The sequence below is a fragment of the Homo sapiens genome, chromosome 11 (genome assembly GCF_000001405.40).
Source record: "Homo sapiens chromosome 11, GRCh38.p14 Primary Assembly".
In the NCBI taxonomy this organism is placed as follows: domain Eukaryota; kingdom Metazoa; phylum Chordata; class Mammalia; order Primates; family Hominidae; genus Homo; species Homo sapiens.
This window is the reverse complement of record NC_000011.10, coordinates 94,606,944-94,627,712: the sequence shown is the minus strand read 5'-3', so window position 1 is coordinate 94,627,712 and position 20,769 is coordinate 94,606,944. Positions and strand designations below refer to the sequence as shown.

Genomic DNA, 20,769 nt, shown 5'->3' with positions numbered 1-20,769 from the left:
TAACAGTGCAACATACAGCCTTTTGACAACAGCTCTCAAAAGTTGTTTACATTTCATGTCTGAGATCTTGAAGTGTGTTAGAAAGATTTAAGAGTAAATTTTCCCAAAGGAAATTGTTAACTCAAAGCCAGTGATATGGTTTGCCTTTGTCCCCACCCAAATCTTATCTTGAATTCCCACGTGTTGTGAGAGGGACCTGGTGGGAGTAATTGAATCATGGGTGCAAGTCTTTCTCATGCTGTTCTTGTGACAGTGAATGAGTCTCATGAGATCTGACAGTTATAAAAGGAGACGTTCCCCTGTACAAGCTCTCTCTCTTTGCCTGCTGCCATCCATGTAAGACGTGACTTGCTTCTCCTTGCCTTCCACCATGATTGTGAGGCTTCCCCAGCCACATGGAAACTGTAAGTCCAATTAAACCTCTTTCTTTTGTAAATTGCCCAGTCTCAAGTATGTCTTTATCAGCAGTGTGAAAATGGACTAATACAGTAAATTGGTATCAGAAGTGGGGTGCTGATGAAAAGATACCCAAAAATGTGGAAGCAACTTTGGAACTGCATAACAGGCAGAGGTTGGAACAGTTTGGAAGGGTCAGAAGAAGACAAGAAAATGTGAGAAGGTGAGAAGGTTTGGAACCCCCTAGAGACTTGTTGAATGGCTCTGCCCAAAATGCTCATAGTGATATGGACAATAAGGTCCAGGCTGAGGTGGTCTCAGATGGAGATGAGGAACTTGTTGGGAACTAGAACAAAGGTGACTCTTGTTATGATTTAGCAAAGAGACTGGCGGCATTTTATCCCTGCCCTAGAGATTTGTGGAACTTTGAACTTGAGAGAGATGATTTAGGGCATCTGGTGGAAGAAATTTCTAAGCAGCAAAGCATTCAAGAGGTTAGTTGGGTGCTGCTAAAGGCATTCAGTTTTGAAAGGGAAACAGAGAATAAACATTTGAAAAATTTGCAGCTTGACAATGCAATAGAAAAGAAAATCCCATTTTCTGAAGAAAAATTCAAGCCAGCTACAGAAATTTGTGTAAATAATGAGAAGCTGAATGTTAATCACCAAGACAACGGGGAAAATGTCTCCAGGACATGCCAGAGATCTTTGCCACAGCCCCTCCTAGCACAGTCTTGGAGGCCTAGAAGGAAAAAGTGGTTTTGTGGGTGAGGCCCAGGGTCCCTGTGCTGTCTGCAGCCTAGGGACTTGGTGCCCTGTGTCCCAGTCACTCCAGCTGTGGCTGAAAGGAGCCAACGTAGAGCTCAGGCCATGGCTTCAGGGAGTGCAAGCCTCAAGCCTTGGCAGCTTTCACGTGGTATTGAGCCTGTGAGTGCATAGAAGTCAAAAATTGAGGTTTGGGAACCTCTGCCTAGATTTCAGAAGTTGTATTGAAATGCCTGGATGCCCAGGCAGAAGTTGTATGCAGGGCTAAGGCTCTCAGAGAACCTCTGCTAGGGCAGTGCAGAAGGAAAATGTGGGATTGGAGCCCCGACACAGAGTCCCTACTGGGGCACTGCCTAGTGGAGCTGTGAGAAGAGGACCACTATCCTATCCTCCAGACCCTAGAATTGTAGATCCACCACAGCTTGCACTGTGCACCTGGAAAAGCTGCATACAATGCCAGCCTGTGCAAGCAACAGGAGGGGGGCTTTACCCTGCAAAGCCACAGGGGTGGAGCTGCTGAAGACTGTGGGAACCTACCTCTTGCATCAACATGACCTGGATGTGAGACATGGAGTCAAAGGAGATCATTTTGGAGCTTTAAGATCTGACTGCCCCACTGGATTTCTGGACTGGCATGGGGCCTGTAGCCCCTTTGTTTTGGCCAATTTCTCCCATTTGGAAAGGCTGTATTTATCCAATGCCTGTATCCCCATTGTATCTAGGAAGTAACTAACTTGCCTTTGATTTTACTGGCTCATAGGCGGAAGGGACTTGCCTTGTCTTGTATGACACTTTGGACTGAGGACTTTTGAGTTAATGCTGAATTGAGTTGAGACTTTGGGGAACTGTTGGGAGGGCACGATTGGTTTTGAAATGTGAAGATATCAAATTTGGGAGGGGCCAGGGGCGGAATGATATGGTTTGGCTGTGTTCCCACCCAAATCTTATCTTGAATTCCCACATGTTGTGGGAGGTACCCAATAGAAGGTAATTGAATCATGGGAGCAAGTCTTTCCCATGCTGTTCTTGTGACAGTGAAAAAGTCTCATGAGATCTGATGGTTTTAAAAAGAGGGGTTCCCCTGCACAAGCTCTCTCTTTGCCTGCTGCCATCCATGTAAGGTGACATGCTTCTCCTTGCCTTCCACCATGATTGTGAGGCTTCCCCAGCCACGTGGAACTGTAAGTCCAATTAAACCTCTTTTCTATAAATTGCCCAGTCTCAGGTATGTCTTTATCAGCAGTGTGAAAACGGACTAATACACCTAGTATTTAAAAAGTTATGATATCTCTAGGTAAAAGGTTTTTAAAAATGTTTTATGTTGTGGTTGACAAAGTGCTTAAGATTAAAAATAGACTTATTTTTATTAAAAGGTAAAGAGTCATTTAATAGGGAAGAAAGTTGTGTCAGTTTGGGTCCCTTAAGAAGCACACACCAAGACAGAATTAAGCATTCAGAAGATTTACTGGGAGAAACACCTGTGAAGAATACTGGTGAGAGGAAGTAGGAGTGACTAGGGAGGGCCTTAAGACCTCAGTGCTAATCTGAAATACATGAAACGGAGTGGGAAGGAAAGAGGATCAGTAGAAAAAGCTCAAAACTTTAGTGCAGTTCTTAGAAAACCTTGGTCAAGACAAAGTGGGTTCCCCTACTGTGTTAAGTCTATTCTCACACTGCTGTAAAGAACTACCTGAGACTGGGTAATTTATGAAGAAAAAGAAAAGAGATTTAATTGACTCACAGTTCCACAGGCTGTGCAGGAGGCATGGCTGGGGAGGCCTCAAAAAACTTACAATCATGGCAGAAGGCCAAAAAGGGAGCAAGGACATCTTCACATGGCAGCAGGAGAGAGAGAGAGAGAGAAGGGGGAAGTGCTACACATTTTCAAACAACGAGATATGGTAAGAACTCACTCACTATCATGAAAACAGCAAGGGGGCAATCCACCCTCACGGTTTAATCACCTCTCACCAGGCCACTCCTCCAACACATGGGGATTACAATTCAACATAAGCTTTGGGTGGGGACACAGAGCTAAACACAGCATATTACCTATCAGAGACTAATAGTGGAGTCCCATGTTGGGCAGAAACAACCCAGATCTATTACCTCTCCTGTGCTCAGTAATGGGCTAGAATCAGTCTGGGGAGGGTATGGTCTCATCACCCCTGTGGTGGATCCTGAAGCTGTAGCATTTAGAGGCTGTCAGCCAACTATGCTCCTTGCAGAAGGTTCTTTTAAAGGATAATCTGATGGGCCACTCCATGGTGGCCACAGAAATGTATTTAAAGTATACTTTCTTCCAGAGTCTCTCCCTCAGTTCTCAAAATAAAAGAAAAACTACAAAATCCTTTCTATAAAATAGGAACTGGTAGATTGTTTATTTCTAGAGACAATATTAAGCTTTCCCTTAAGTAGAATTGTAGAATTCAGAATCTAGTACAGTGCCTGGCACATAATAGAAACCCATAACTATTTGTTAACTAAATTGTGCCATTTGATTCATTTCCTCTCCTCAGGTCTAATAAGATGATACCCTTTATTAAGGCCAGATACTTCAGATTTGACATTTCTAATCCTTACAATAACTCTACAATGCAGACATTGTTAGACATTTTTACAAGTAGATACACTGAGGCTCAGAGAGGTTAAGTAACTTGCCCAATGTCACACGACTATAAGTGGTGGTTCTAGGATTCAAATCCAGTGCTGCTCTGAAGCCTGGCACAGGCTCCCTTTCCTCTTTGTCCTTGGTAGCCTAAGGAAAACTAATTAATGCATGTGAGAGGTGGCAATCACATAACGTGAAGCTGAAATAGGTCTCATATATTATCTAAACCAGTATTCCTCAGCCCTGGCTGAACATCAGAACCATTTCGAGAACTTTTAAAATATTCGGATGATCAGGCCCCATCTCAGACCATTTAAATCACTATTTTGAGAGGTAGACCCAGGCATCTCTATTTTTTTGTTCTAAAGCTTTTAAACATGGGAACTTCTAATCTTCTCAAGATTAGGCACCACTGGTCTTGTCCAAGCCCTCTCATATTACAGATTGGGTAACTGAGTCCCAGAAAGTGAAGTTATCACATCTGACAACCAAACGTGCTGGAACCAGAGCTCATATGAAGATTTCTTAGTCCCATGTTGCCCTCTAGGAGTTTACCTGAAATTGTTTGTTGAAGCCTATGACACTGCCATGATGAAGGACTCTATTCACACAGCAGTCCTTGTGTGCCCTCTGGTGGGTTAAAGGGGTAAGAAGTCATTTCCTGGGGCAGTACTTAAAAGGGTGGGTGGGCGCTCTGCAGAAGGTTGTATTGCCTAATCAAAATGTTTCGTGTGGATTTATACAAGCTGGCTGGTTAGGTAGTGGGGATTTATATCACCGTTCTACTTTGAAGGAAGAAAACAACAAGATAAACAAAAACAAAACCCACCACCTTGAATTGGATCAGTGCCTTGTCTCCAAAGACTTGCTATATAATGCCATCTTTTTTTTTTTTTTTTTTTTTTCTGAGACAGAGTTTTGCTCTGTCGTCCCAGGCTAGAGTGCAGTGGTGCAATCTCGGCTCACTGCAAGCTCTGCCTCCCGGGTTCACGCCATTCTCCTGCCTCAGCCTCCCGAGTAGCTGGGACTACAGGTGCCCGCCATATAATGCCATCTTTAAATCCCATAAGGCACTACCTCACATTAGTGCTCTGGGAGAAATTTTTTAAATCTTAGAGTATCTTTTATCAAGGGTGTAGACTCTTTTGGTTCATCTTACAGGTTTTGCAAACAAACCTGAGGACAAATTCTAGCTCCACAATTTATTAATCTCATAAACTTCAGTGAGTCACGTGGTATCTTTAATCCCCAGCTTTACCATCTGAAATGGTCATTATAACCTAATTTATACAGTTCTTGTGGAGATTAAATGTGTATATGTAGGCATGGCACTGGCCCTGAAACTTATTAAGTCCCCTCCACCCTCATGCTTCACAAAATGGTTATCCTATTATTGGTAGACCCCTGTTGGGTGCATTTCTACTATGTCTGGACAAAACTCTCAAATAGGAAAAGAATATTTTCAGTGCAAAGTGATGTAACCTGTGCATTGGCATCCCTCCTGTGGCCTGCTTCCCTTGTCCCCAGAGAGCACTTGCCACTCTCCTGCCACCCTTTGTTGCAGACTTCCACAGACCTTCCCGTGGTAAGCAGAATTTGAACTCTGATCTATCCCTCATCAAAATATCTTTTGCATGTAGCTGTATTCTCATTCCTGGGGCATTCCAACATGAAAAGGTTGAGAAGATGAGGAAAAGCCACAAAAGGAGACAGCATGAGTGATCAATATGCAGTAGGAGAGAAATCAGGAGAGTGTTATTCTACAGGCCAAATAAAGAATGTCTCAGAGGGAGGAAATGATTGACTGGGTCAAGCAAGACAAGGACCAAGAGGTGACCATTGGATTTAGCAAAGTGGAGGTTATTGGTGGTGTTGACTAAGGCAAGTTTGCTGTAGTGGTTGTGGTGAAATTGTGATTGGAATACAGAATTGGATACATCAAGCACAGACTCTTCTTTTGCGATGTTTTTCCTGTAAAGAAGTGCCAGGCAATGGGGTGGAAGCTAGAGGAAATGGCTTTTTAAGATGAGAGAAATAACAGCATATTTATAATGCCAGTGAGAATGAGCCAGTAGTGAGAGAGAAAACTGATGATGCAGAAAGGAGAAGGGAGAACTGCTAGAGCAGCATCCTTCACAGGTCAGAGGGATTGAGATTTAGTACAGAGGTGGAGCGCCTTATAGGAACAGACATGCTGCACTCATAATAAAGGGAAGGGCAGGCAGAGTCTATGGGTACAGATGCCGTTAGGTGAAGGTAGAGATAACGAGAGGTTTGCAAAAGTTCTCTTCTGATAGCTTCCTTTTTATCAGTAAATAGGAAGCAAGGTCATCACTGGGAGAAGCTGCTATTAAGTGAAATAAAGTCCCATCAAGAGAGCAAGTGATCAGCTCAGTTTCCGAAATAGAACTCAAAGATTAATGGTGATGTGCTCTAGTGGGTAAGAGGTTTTGCTGAAAATACTTCAATTATGAGGTTCACATGTAATATCAACGTAAAATTCAAATAACAATAAACACATGATGTTCTGAACTTTATTTTCAACTATTTAAACCACTCTACAAAATGCTCTACAACATTAAGAAAACCTCAGCAAAATTTGGGGTGGGAATTAGACTCTGTTTATCTGTCATCAAAATATCACGCAAACACTTATTTTAAGTGTTTAACTTAAGATATTTAACTCTGTGGAATTCTTTGTAGATGATGGTATATTTAAATTCCACATATGACAATGAAAATTTACCCCAAGCATACAACTCTTTAAAACAAAATAACACACATTTTTTAAAACTGTTTCAGATTAAGTTGTTTTGCTTTTTTTCCTAGACATGAAAACTAAGCTCAATCTTTTTCCCCAGTCACAGCCTTGAGCTTATGGCAGATTTGCACAAAGTATACCAATTTCTTCTTGGATTGTCCATCTAGTGATGCCAGTAGTTCATGCCATCACAGGTAGAAGAGATGGTTGGCTAATTCCAGACTGGGTTCTTTATGAATGCTTTGTGCCACCAGAAAGGTCAGCTTGTGAGCATACTGACATGGTGCTGGGACACTGACTATGCCCTGAGGAGAAAAAAGTATTGATAATAATTAAGAGATTACCTTGTTCTTCAAAGAGATTTTTTCTGATTTTACTTTGTCTACTGGTTACACAGATAATAGAATGGGCTTCTGGGTAAACAACAGGTAACCTCAACCAACAAAAGGTAACCTAACTTACTGGGAACTTAAGCTCACTGGGGAGGATGGAGTGAAAAGTCACTCTGGCTTCATGGTGCTGGGAGTAGGGAGCCATCACACTTCAGACTAGTCTTTGTCCTGTGATCTCAAGTTTGGAACTCCTTGGAGGAGCTTCGTGCAAACCTTGGGCTTGGCCTTTGGGAACAGCTCTTGGCCTAATGCACAGGAACAAAGGGCAGACCCAGGCCTGTTAACACTTCCCCACCAGGCACATCTGAGTTGGCTTCAATTTCTTCATCTGTAACATGTAAATAACAATACCCTGATTTCCTCCCAGGTTTGCATAAGATAATGTATATAACAAAGTCGTCTAGAAACTGTAACTATTAATGTATTATAATAGTTATTGTTATTTTGTTTCTATGATAGACTGCTTTCCTCCCACTGTGGACTCAAGAAGTGATTCATTCATTGATTCATTCATTCATTCATTCCTTCTTTAGGAAATATCAGGTATTGTGCTATATCTAGGGATACAAAGATGACGTGTATGATAATTCCTAGGTGGGACTCTTGAGTATCATATTTACATTAAGTAAACAGCTTTCACTCACCGGCCAGTTGTAGTACAGGTGGCACAATTTGAATGTAAGTCTCTGCATATGGTCGGGCTTCAAGCCGTTGTCATCATAGATGACATTATAGTAGGTAGGACTAACAGTTCCCCGGCAGGCCACCTGGCTGATCAGATAAAAGTCATACCTGAGGGGGAAAATGGAATGAATGTAGGAAAGAAGGCAAACAGAATAAGGTCAAACATAAACTGGACGCAATGAATGTTTTGTTAAAAATTGATTTTCCAGCGGCACTTGCCATTCGTTACGTGTTGCTTCTGAATCCACAACAGTGCCAAGTGGGGGGTTCTGTACAGTGCGGTTCATTTCGGTAAAGAATCGTGGCATGCACTTCTTCCTGACCACAATCACCGACAGTCTTGAGCTAAAAATTAGAGAGGCAAAATATGAAAAGAACTCAATCCAATCTATATAGCTTTCTATTTTTGTGTAATTTAAAAAATGAAATAAATAAAAATTCCATTTGAAAAACACTGCAAAACAGAAAATAAAAATTACCTACAATCCCTCCTTCCCTAGAGATACATACAATTTTTTAAATTAGGGATTGTCCGTATTTGTTGCAAAAGGATGCTATCCCAAGTCATTTGCCTAGTTTATACCACTCAAAGGGGGCAGGAAGGAATGCTGAACTTCAACTGGCACTTTTGCGAAAGATTTTCCAGAATTATCCATGGAGACAAGATGTGTGTGTGTGTGATTAGTGACTCAACCTATTTTCCCCTTCGCTCTTCCTCTCAATTTTATTTCCAAGTAGCAAAGGAAGAACCACAAGTTCTTCCTATTCCTCTTGTCATCCCTTCTGTATTACACAAAACTCATGCCTGGGTGGATGGATGGATGGACCAAATATATGTTCTGGCCAAATGCTGAATGGTGAAGTGTTAATGTATTTGGTAAAGCCAAGGCGAAATCCTAATATCTGTCATTACAAAAGGCATCCTTACATCCTCTGGGATGTAAGGATCACTGCGGAGTTTCATTTTAAGCATTATAATTATTTTTAAAATTTATCACGAACGTTTTCAATATTGAAACTATCAAAAGTTGATGTTATAGTGCAAGAAAAGTAACTCCTTAGCACTGTCAGCTGCTAAATTTACTCCTGCATCCCTCAGTTGCATACCTGTGATTCTTAATAAACACATGCACCTGAGATCAGTGGAGAGCAAAGTATTTTGGCCCTAACAGTTGGGATAAAGCTGCAGATGATACTGCCACCAAACTTTCAGGCTTCCCCTCCACTCTAACAATAACCGACTGAGGTCAAGACTCAGCTCCTTTGTGACTTGTGGCTGTGACCCTTTGGTTGATGGTGATGATGATGATGTAACCCTACAGATAGGGCTATGTGTCCTGCTTGGAATAAGATGCTTTCCAAATATTTTAAGAAGCTGACTTTAGATTATTGTCCTCTCCTATTTTCCATTTCCAACATTTTCTTGAACTTGCCATTTCACATAATCACTGCAGAAAATTTTGTACTGAAACACAGACAACAGTGGAGCAAGAAGCCTGGTGTTCAGGATGGTCTGATTTCCATCTGCAGCTCAGCTTTCATGGCACTCAAACCCTTTGAGAACCTTCCATAGACCTTAAGTGCACATCAGTGCCTGCAACTCAGAGGCTTTGGTTCTGTGTGTATTAGGGCCTTGAATTTGAAATCACGGTTTGTTTTCTTCCATGTGATATTAATATGTATGAAGTATTTTCACTGCCAGCAGCCCTGCAGGCTTCATGCTGAATCTGTGTCAGCTGCTCTGAGGGTACCTTTCTTTGTCTAGGTTTCCCCTCCCAGGGCCCCCAAAGCTTATACCACCCAAGCTATTTATGTTAGACCATCCCAACTACCCTCCAATCTGAAGGAAATGATAGAGCTCTACTGGCATGATACAGAAACACAGCAAAACTTAATTGCATAAAAAACAAAACTTATGCTTGAATACCTTGTGTGTAATAGCTACAGCTGAATATGCTATAATTGGGAGTATGGAGGAAAGAACAATAATTGAATACCTGGTATTTGAGCTGGATTCTGCCACACTGCTCAGCAGCTGTGGGACTTCATATTCAATAAGTGTTTTCAGCTGACCATCCCCTACACCAGCACGGTACACAATTATCCGTGCTGGCAAATCATGATTGTACTTGTACCATTTGTTGAGTGCTCCTGCAGAATTTGGTGTCAGTAAGAAAAGAATTACTTTTCTAATGCCAACAAAAAATAACATTCCCATATATTGCAGTGTTTAAATGGGTTTGCTATTTCAGACCACTGTAAAATAGGGCAATACATAATTTGGGTTATATTTGCAAGAATATAACAATGGATAACTTTAGGGAGCATTCCTCTGTCTCTGCTATTCAAGGAATCACAATGGTTTCTATGGCATGATATATTCTTAAACTTGGCCTATCTCTTTAAATAAAATTTTAATATTTAAGCAATAAATTAAAAATTAATGCAATAGACAAATGCCTAAAATCAAATATTAGTGTCTTCAAGTCTTTAAATCCTCTAATTAGATATAAACTAATTTTATGTCATTTTCCTTCCTAATGAGAATAAATATGAAAATCTAAGGAAATGGCTTTGCTGTTCCTCTGAAAACATATCTTCACACTGACTCACCCAATTGATTCCAATTCTCACTGAGGGAATGAACTCTGAAAACATTTCTACTCACTGTAACTATGAATTTCCTAAAGAACAGGGACCATAGAGTAACTGCTACCCAACGAAAACCTTTAATAACTGCTAAAAAAAAAATTACCTGCTAAAAAAATTTACCAGGTTTCGATGTGAGGGGAATATAATAGAATGCAATAATTATTTTCATGTATATATTGCATAGTTATTTTAAGAGTTTATTGTTTAGGAAATTCATTTTAGTTTGATAGAAGGTAATCATATATATAAGTCCATTACCAACATGTATAAGCAAATTCATTTTTTAAGAAAAAATATTTACAATACTCCCAAATTTACAGATGGGAAAATGCAGATCAGGAGAGGGAAGGGTTTGTACAAGTCACACTGCTAGGAAATAGCAAAGCCAGACCTAGGCCAGGAGTGGTGAAGAAACAGAAACCTTAGATTTGTCTTTGCATTGCATCCTGCTATGGATAGGGCACCTTTCCTCATCTGCTGTCTTTCCCTTCTTCTCTTGCTTTGCCACTTTATCTGTTAGCACCCCTATCCTAGCCCTATAGGCTTCCCTCCTAGGTCTACACTTAACATTGCTCTGTCATAACTCGAGTTCCTCCAGGGTTGGTTTCTTTTGACCTTCAAACTGCTTGTCAGGGAAACCAGCAGCCACAAATTTTCCTTCCTTCTGGCTTCATGTTATCACACACAGACAAATGTAAATGTAAATGCTACATAGTCTGATTGTTGGCCTAAATCGGCATGCAGCTTCAGAGATCTTCAACTGGGTGACAGTTGACAAAGACAGGTGTAGAGAGTTTGCTCTGACCTATGTGGTCTTCTATAAGCATGTGGATTTGAGGTCTGAAGGAACAGTCCTTGGAGCCCACCCACATTGCTATATTTTTAGTACCAGTCATGAAAACTTTCAAGCAATCTGCAACATCAGTCATTGTTCTCTGAAGGATACAGCGGGAAAACCACCTAAAGTTAAAAAAAAAAATAAAAGTAAAATTCAACTTCAATTTTTCTACCATAAATATTCATTAATATTAAATTAAGAAACAGAGATTATGAGTAAAAATCAATGTTCGCAATTTTGTATGTGTTATGTGTTCACAATTATATCAAAGAGACCCTTTACCCAAAAAGAATTTATTGAGAACAGAAGCTAAACATAGTGTTGGCATCAGCCATATCGAGCTTCAAATCCTAGTCAATATACTCACCAGCTGTGTAACTTTGCTATGTGAACCTAAGTCTCAGTTTCCTCATCTGTACCAAGGAGATTTACAAGGTAAGTAGATTAGTTACTACCTCATAGGGTTGTGGTAAAAATTAAATCACATGATATTTGTAAAATATTTAGCATAGTACTTTGCATATAGTAAAGAGTAATAGAGGCCACTATTATTGTTATAAATTAATGTACTAATTTAGCAATAGAGCTTCTACTGTCAAAATATTCAAAGATTTCTGAAGCATAAACTTTCATTTCTATAGGTGATCCTTTTGGATTAGAAATCTTAACATTATTGTGTAGATTTCAGAAACAAGTTCTCTTACTACCACCATTAATTAACTTAAAGCACTTGGAAATGAAGATCATGACTTTGTGTTAGGTATGTTCCAGCATTATTATACCTCTCTAAATATATGCAACAACAGTAATACAGCTACATGTGGTGGCGCGTGCCTATAGTCACAGCTACTTGGGAGGCTGAGGTAGGAGGACTGCTTGAGCCCATGAGTTCAAGGCTGTATTGTGCTATCACTGTGCCTGTGAATAGCCACTGCACTCCAGCCTGGGCAACAAAGCAAGACCCCATCTCTAAACATTTTGTTTTTTTGTAAAAAACAACAACAAAACAAAAAAAACAGAACACAATTAGGAATGCTGCCAACAAACTAGAAGTCCTGAGTGATATTAGCAAGGTGGAAGAATAGGAGCTTTCTACCATCATTTCCCTTCCAGAAGCATCAATTTTGACAATTACCCATGGATGAGACTAACTCCAATGGTGACGTTCCAGCACATCACTGGAGTAAAACATCAGAGAATGGATGCATTAAAGAGGGTAACACAAAGAGATTCACTTTACCTGCATTGCTCCTCCCCTACGGAGGGCACAGCTCAGTGCCATGACAGATCACATCAGCCCATGATTTCTCTTACAGGGTGAAAATTAGAGTGTAGTGAGTGAGTACCCAGCTCCCTCACCCATTCAGGATACTGCCTAGGATGCCCACTTTTTTCTTGCCTCAACCAGAACAACAAGATTATCAGCACAGCTGGGAGGTTAGGAGAGTCTGGGGGCAGGAAAGAGTGGCTGCAAACCCTACTGACTGCTCTATGAGCTTCATCAAGAGGCCCTCCTGTGGGTTTCTTAGGATACCTTGCCTATGGAGCACCTCAACTGACTCACAGGCACCCCAAATGCTACATGTATCTCACCACCACCCCTGACCAGGCTGGCTCCCCAACCACATTTGTTCAGATGTTGAGTGCAAGCATTTCACACAAACAGATAGCTTGACTCTTCAGGATTTGGAGAAGGTACACAAAATGAGCATTTCAGGGCACCACCCTAGGGAAAACAGATGAGAGCCTCTTGACAGCTGGCCTGGCTTTGTGGGATTGAGAAAGTGCATGCAATTTTAAGGATCCCCCCACCAAGTGAGAACCAGAAGTGTGGAGTGGGCACATGAATAGAAAACGTGTAAGAGAGCCTCAGAATCCCTAGCTGGGCTGACTGTTAAAGGTTTTTCTCTCCCAAAGATAGCCAATAAAGACTGGAAGAAATGACTGATTCTTCAAATGCAAAGACAGCAATGCAAAACTTCAAGAAACATGAAAAATCAGGAACTGACCGGGTGCAGTGGTTCATGCCTGTAACCCCAGCACTTTTAGAGGCCGAGGAGGGAGGATCACCTGAAGTCAGGAGTTCAAGACCAGCCTGCCCAACATGGTGAAACCCTGACTCTACTAAAAATACACAAAATTAGCTGGGCATGGTGGCAGGCACCTGTAATGCCAGCTACTAGGGAGGCTGAGGCAGGAGAATCAGTTGAACCTGGGAGGCAGAGGTTTCAGTGAGCTGAGATCGCACCACCACACTCCAGCCTGCGTGACAAGAGCGAAACTCTATCTCAAAAAGGAAAAAAAAAAAAAAAAAGAAAAGAAAAATCAGGAACTATGACACAACCAAGGGAACACAATAATATTCCAGTAATTGACCTCAAAGAAATGGAGATTTGTGAATTGCCTGAGAAAGGATTCAAAATAATTGTTTAAGGAAGCTCAGCAAGCTACAAGGGAATGCAGACAGACCACTCAATGACATTAAAAAAAAAATACAGAAACAAAACAATAACTTCAATATAGAGATAGAAACAATTAAAAAAGAACCAAGCAAGCTGGGCCTGGTGGTTCACACCTATAATCCCAGCACTTTGGGAGGCTGAGGCAGGTGGATCAGGAGGTTAGGAGTTTGAGACTAGCCTGACCAACACAGTGAAACCCCCTCTCTACTAAAAATAAAAAAAATTAGCTGGACATTGTGGCAGGTGCCTATAATCTCAGCTACTTGGGAGGCTGAGGCAGGAGAATCACTTGAACCCAGGAGGCGGAGGTTGCAGAGAGCCAAGATTGTGCCACTGCACTCCAGCCCTGGGTGAGTGTGAGACTCCATCTCAAAGAACCAAGCAGAAATTCTGGAGCTGAAGAATACAATTAAATAAAAGCAATAGAAAATATCAATAGCAGACTTGATCAGGTAGAAGAATCTGTGAATTTGAAGATAGGTCATTTGAAAATACACAAAGGAGAAAAAATAAAAGGATGGAAGAAAGCCTATGGAGTTTTTGGGATACCATAAAGAGGGCTAACATTTGCATTACGAAAGTTTCAAAAGGAGAACAGAGATAGGTGGAAAGCTTATTTCAAGAAATAATGGCTAAAATGTTCTTGAATCTGGAAAGAGATAGGAACATCCAGGTACACGTAGCTCAAAAGTTCTGAAGCAGGTTCAACCCAAAGAAGAATTCACCAAGACATATTACAATCAAACTGTCAAAAATCAAAGACAGAGAATGTTGAAAGCAGCAAGAAGAGAGGCTTATTACATACAAAGGAACCCTCATAGGCTATCAGCAGATTTCTCAGCAGAAACCTTACAGGCCAGGAGAATGAGATGATATATTCCAAGTTTTGAAAGAAAAAACTACTGATCTATCAAGAATACTTTTCCTTGAAAAGCTGTCCTTCAGAAATGAAAAAGAGATAAAGAAGTTTTCAAACAACAAACTGAGGAAGTTCATCACCATTAGACCTGCCATATAAGAAATAACAAAGGGAGTTCTTCAAGCTGAAATGAAAGGATGTAATAAGTAACATAAAAACATATAAAAGCATAAAACTCACTAATATAGGTAAGTATATCATCAAATTCAAAATACTCTAATACTGTAATAGTTGTTTATAAACTACTTATAACTCTAGTTGTAGGGATAAAAGATCAAAGTATTTTAAAATATAGCTACATAAGAAAATAACAATACAATTAATAAAAACAGCTACACAATATAATTAATGCATATATACACAATATAAGAAGATGCAAATCATGACATCTAAAACATAAAATGTAGGGGAGAAAGTAAAAGTGAGGAGTTTTTGTATGTGATAAAGTTATCAGCTTAAAATATACTGTTATAACCATAAGATGTTTTATGTAAGACTCATGGTAATTATGAAGCAAAAATCCATAGTAGATACTCAAAACAAAAAAGAGAAAGGAGTAAAGCATACTATTGCAGAAAATCATCAAATCACAAAGGAAGACAGAGAGAGAGGAATAAAGAAACAATCTACAAAAAAGCCAGAAAACAATGAATAAAATCACAATAGTGAGTCATCACTTATCAATATTTTAAATGTAAATGGATTAAATTCTCCAATCAAATGACACAGTGTAGCTAAATGGATAAAAAAGAAAACCTAACTAAATGCCACCTACAAAGAGATTCACTTCAGCTGTAAGGACACACATAGATTGAAAGTAAAAGGATAGAAAAAATATTCCATGCAAATGGAAACCAATAGAGAGCAGGGGTAGCTAAACTTAGGCAAAATAGACTTTTGTAAAAAAAAAAAAAAAAACCTCACAAAAATCAAAGTCGTTGGATAAGGATAAAAGAATCAATTCATTAAGAGAATACATCAATTTTACGTATGTATGCACCTAATAGTTGAGCATCTAAATATATAAATCAAATATTAACATCTGAAGAGAGAAACAGCAATACAATAATAGTAGGGAGCTTCAGTACTCCACTTTTAACAACAGATAGATCATCCTGACAGAAAATTAATAAGGAAACATTGGACTTGAATTATACTTTAGACCAAATGAATCTGATATATAAAATGTTTCGGCCAACAACTGCAGAATACATATTCTGCTCAAGCACACATGGAACATTCTCCAAGACAAATCATAGCCAGTATTAACAACTTTAAGAAGACTGAAATTATATCAATCTGTTAGTTTTGTATTGCTATAAAGAAACACTTTAGACTGGGCAATTTATTTAAAAAAAAGGTTTATTTGACGCATGGTCTTACAAGCTGTACATAAAGCATAGTGCCAGCATCTGCTTCTGGCGAGGGCCTCAGGAAGCTTATAATCATCATGAAAGGCAAAGGGGGGCCAGGGTGTCACATGGTGAAAGAGGGAGCAAAAGAGAGAGATCAAGAGACATGCCAGGCTCTTTTAAACCGCCAGCTGTTGCACAAACTAACAGAACAAGAACTCACTCATTACCATGGGGAGGGCAATCTACCCCCATGACCAAAACACCTCCCACCAGGCCCTACCTTCAACATTGGGGATCACATTTTTTGGAGGGGACAAACTATATCAATATTTGAACAAACTATATCAATCAAGCTTACTATTGTCTGACCATCATAGTATGACACTAGAATTAATAATGGAGGAAAACTGCAAAATTGAAATATAGAAACACAACATACTAAAACTTATGGGATGCAGCAAAAGTAGTTTAAGATGGAAGTTTATGGCAATAAATGCCTATGTGAAAAAAAAGGAAAGCCCTGATAAACATAAATGTAAAAATCCTCAACAAAATACTAAAAACTAAATTCAACAGTATATTAAAAGTTTCACAAATGATGAGAAAATGGGATTTATACCTGGGATGTAAGAATGGATGGTTCAACATATGCAAATCAATAGCTAGATGCATCACACTTCCTGATTTCAAATTATATTACAAAGCCATAATAATCAAAACAGCCTGATACTGCCATAAAAACTGACACATACGCAAATGGAATGGGATAAGACGCCCAGAAATAAATCCACACGTATACAGTCAACTAATCTTTGACAAAAACACCAACAATACACAATGGGATAAAGAAAGTCTCTTCAATAAATGGTGTTGAAATAACTAGATATTCACATGTAAAAAAACGAAATTGGACCCTTATACCATATACAAATATTAACTCTAAATGGATTAAAGACTTAAACAAAAGATCTTACACTGCAAAACTTCTAGAAGAAAACATAAAGCTCCATGACATTGATCTTGGCAATGATTTTCTGAATATGACACCAAAAATACAACAATATAATAAAAGTTTCTGCATAGCAAAGGAAATAATTAACAAAATGAAAAGCAACTTACATAATGGGAGAAAACATTTGCAATCACATATCTGATACGGGGATGATATCCAAAATATATGAAGAACCCATACAATTCAATAGAAAAAAAATCCAATTAAATAGACATTTTTCCAAAGATGACATATAAATGGCCAACAGATACATGAAAAGGTGCTCAACATCACTAATCATCAAGGAAATGCAAATCAAAACCACAATGAGATATCACCTTACACCTGTAGGATGGCTATGACCAAAAAGTCAGAAGATAAATATTAGGGAGAATGTGGAAAAATGGGAACCTTTATACATTGTTGGTGGGAATGTAAATTAGCATAGCCATTATGGAAACCAGTAAAGAAGTTCCTCAAAAAATTTCAAGTAGAACTACTATATGATCCAGAAATCCCACTCTGGCTATATATCCAAAGGAAAAGAAATCAGTATGTCAGATATCTACATTCCCATGTTCAATAGCCAAGATAGAATCAACCTGTGACAACTGATGGATGGTTAGGTAAAGAAATTGTGAGATATACACACACACACACAATAGAATATTATTCAGCCTTAAGAAAATCCTGCCATTTGCAACAACATGAATGAACCCACGGACATTATATTAAGTAAAATAAGCCAGACACAAAAAGACATACTGTACGATCACTTATATGTGGTATCTAAGAATGTCAAACTCATAGAAACAGAGAGTAGAAGATAGTTATCAGGGGCAGAGGATAGGAATATTTGATGTTGTTTGAAGGGTACAAACTTTCAGTTATAAGATGAATATGTTTTGGACACAATGTACAGCATGTTGAGTATAGTTAATTATCATGTACTATTGTATAGTTGAAATTTGCTAAGAGAGTAGATCTTAAGTAGTCTCACCACACACACACACAAATGGTAACTATGTGAGGTAATGGATATGTTAGTTACCTTGACTGTGGTAATTATTTCACAATGTATACATATATCAAAACATCACACTGTACATTCAAAATATATATAATGTATGCATCAATTATCAAAACTGATAAAAATTATAATAAATTTTCTGATAAATGGTGACCATTTCAGAAAAAAACTAAAGTGGATCCCTACCTCACTCCCTATATCAAAATAAATTTTAGATATACAAAGAAAAAAATGAAAGTCCTTTATCAACTTGATTAATGATGTGGCATATATAAGAAGCATCTCATACAACCTGGAATGAAGTTGTAGGCATGCAAGTATGGTGTTATTATGGTGTTCCTTTTTCTGTTTCCCACAATCCAAAATACATACCTGATCATGAATTTAATGGAGTAAATAAAATAGCTTAAGCCAGGAAGAAAACATTTTGCAAAGGGCTGCTATAGGCTCAAAACATATTGTTCAATTACAAAGGTGGAAACAATTCTAAGACCCATAGTTTAATGAGTACTATTAGCCAATGTTTAAGGCATTATCCCTGATTTTGCCTGTTTTTAATAGCTGTCTGAACAACAGCCACGTCAAATGTCTGCAAATATTAATAATCATAACAAGAAGTATGTATTGAGTATTTACTATGGGTGGAGATGTTCAATGCACCTTATTTTAGATAATTCCCATAAATGCCTTATGAAATAGTCATCATTATTATTTCTATTTTACAGATTACCATAGTGAGGCACAGCAAAGTTAAATAACTAGACCTCAGTCACAGAGTAAGTAAGTGGCAGACCAGGGTATAAATCCAGGCAATCTGATTTCAAAGATCAACTGCTCGACATGATATATGTAAAGTACCTAGTTCAGTTCCCAATATGGTGCAGACACTCAGAAAATAAATAAATGCACAAGAATTTGTACACATCTATCATTTGGGGAAGATGAGCAATAGCTCACCCTAATGAATATATAAAAGATTTTTTAATGAGGCTACATAGTACCCCAATATTATCAATCACATTTTTATATGTAAGTGTAATTTATGAACCTAAATGTTGGTGTTTAAAATGAGTGAATAATACAAAATATTCCTTGCTGTTACATTCTTTAGTGAAACCACAATTAATAGTCTAACTAAATGAAGCATGTGTTCAGGTAGTTTTAGCAGTACCTGGTGATTCTGGGGTTAACACTGGCCACGCATCCAACAACCATCACGTCCTTGCTGAGTGCATCTTTACAGACATCAATACCGACCACCATCAGGGACTTTAACTATAAAATTAAATTTGTCATGATTTAATGGGATGAGGTATCATTTCCCCTACCAATGGTTTAATAGGAAAGTTTTTAAAAACAGACTCCAGTTACTGAATTCTTAAAGTTAAGCTATGTGTAAGGGAGATTGAGATCCGTGAGCCAGATTATTAAACCAGAAATGAGAGAGACTTAAAGAAGGCAGGAAGAATATGGTACACACTTATCTTAAGAGAAACACTACCGTCCAAGATAACCATCATCCTTTGTGGGGTGGGGAAGGGGCACCAGTGGCTAAAGAGATTCTGGGAGTGTGGTCAGTGTATCTATCGCTTGCCTCTGGTCTGGAGCAATCTGAAGAGGAATTCCATTCTTCATTCTTCAGATCTCTAAGGAATCCTCACTTGGCTATGCACCTTTGTGGGGAGTGGGAGAGAGGGAGGCTGAGGGTAACCATGTTCATTCTGGTTATGGACATGTAAGGAAATGGGCAACACTCCCTCACTTCTCATTCTCCTCACTTACTCCCATGGTGGCTACAGTTCAGGGAAGAGAAGAGGATTTTCTCAGTACCTACCACAGTTTGGAGGTTCAGGTCATAGGCTATGCCAGCTCCCCAGGCTCTGGGGAGGCCCCATCCAGGGTGCAAGGCTATTCTCAGAGTTAGCACCCTGATGAAAGCAAGTAAATGTGGAGGCAATGGAACACAGATTTTAAAATAGCAGCCAAGAGGATTCAAATCAGGTCCCTATGCTGAGTTAGCAGCTTAACTGAAGCTCCCTGAGAAGTATGGAGCCTCTTTTGGAGATTCACAATGGCTTATGGAATGCCAGAACCCAGGGCAAAGGCTCAAGAAACAAGCAAACCAAATAATTCTGGGATCATGTGATAACATCTCCTACTTTAATCTTTAAAATAAATTTATTAATTACTAATAGAAAAAATGTGACAGGGTCCTTACAGGTATTTCCACAGCCCACAGCTCGCCTCCGAGCTTGCAAGTCATCTGCATAGCGATCTTGGTGGCGATACTCATCATCATGCCCTGTTTATTCAAGGTCCGAGCAAGCACACATTGGCTTGGGACTGGGCAGTCTGAGCTCAAATATTTTTTAATGGAATCATAATAGGTCTTCTGATTAGAAGGCAGAATGCACATTACCTAAAAGCAAAAACAGCAAAAGATTTTGGAAGTTAATTTACTTCTGCTAAGAAGTTGCTTTTTAAAGAAATGAATTCATGAATTATTCTCCAAACATCTTTTACCCTTAAGTTCCCAAGAAGCAACACTAACATGCCTACAGTTCTCTTAAATGGCCATTAAAACACTGGTGAATTAATCAATCCATTTGAAATGCCTTCTCATTAGCCATTCACTCTGCAAAGCCCCACCCACTCCTACCCATTTCCCTTGGCTTTTCCTTTCTCCTCATTTCTCTCCTGATTTGATTCTGTCAATTCCCTCAAATTCCCTTCTCACAGAGCTGCTTCTCCAGCTATCTCCACTCCCTCACCCCCAACTTTGCAGTGATCCTTTCCTATGGTTTTCGAGTTATCATTCCCATTGGTCCCTCCCTGACCCCACCCAAAGATAAGCCAAAGTTGAGAATTAGCTTAAACTATGGTGCTTTTCCCATTAGGTACAAGATAACCAAAA

At 39.2% G+C, this 20,769-nt stretch overlaps 1 protein-coding gene and 1 long non-coding RNA gene across 4 annotated transcripts in view; one reads left to right on the top strand and one right to left on the bottom strand.

The window, feature by feature from the left end:
- Positions 1-20,769, top strand: part of PIWIL4-AS1 (PIWIL4 antisense RNA 1) — a 195,024-nt gene that overhangs the window by 112,643 nt on the left and 61,612 nt on the right. The window lies entirely within an intron of this gene.
- Positions 6,292-20,769, bottom strand: part of PIWIL4 (piwi like RNA-mediated gene silencing 4) — a 54,054-nt gene continuing 39,576 nt past the window's right edge. The window contains exons 14-20 of the mRNA NM_152431.3: positions 20,074-20,274; positions 19,027-19,130; positions 11,150-11,220; positions 9,606-9,759; positions 7,828-7,953; positions 7,569-7,716; positions 6,292-6,837 (exon numbers count right to left, since the gene is read on the bottom strand). Coding sequence (NP_689644.2) covers positions 6,721-6,837; positions 7,569-7,716; positions 7,828-7,953; positions 9,606-9,759; positions 11,150-11,220; positions 19,027-19,130; positions 20,074-20,274 — 921 coding nt within the window. The 3' untranslated portion in view covers positions 6,292-6,720. The remainder of the gene's footprint in view (positions 6,838-7,568; positions 7,717-7,827; positions 7,954-9,605; positions 9,760-11,149; positions 11,221-19,026; positions 19,131-20,073; positions 20,275-20,769) is intronic.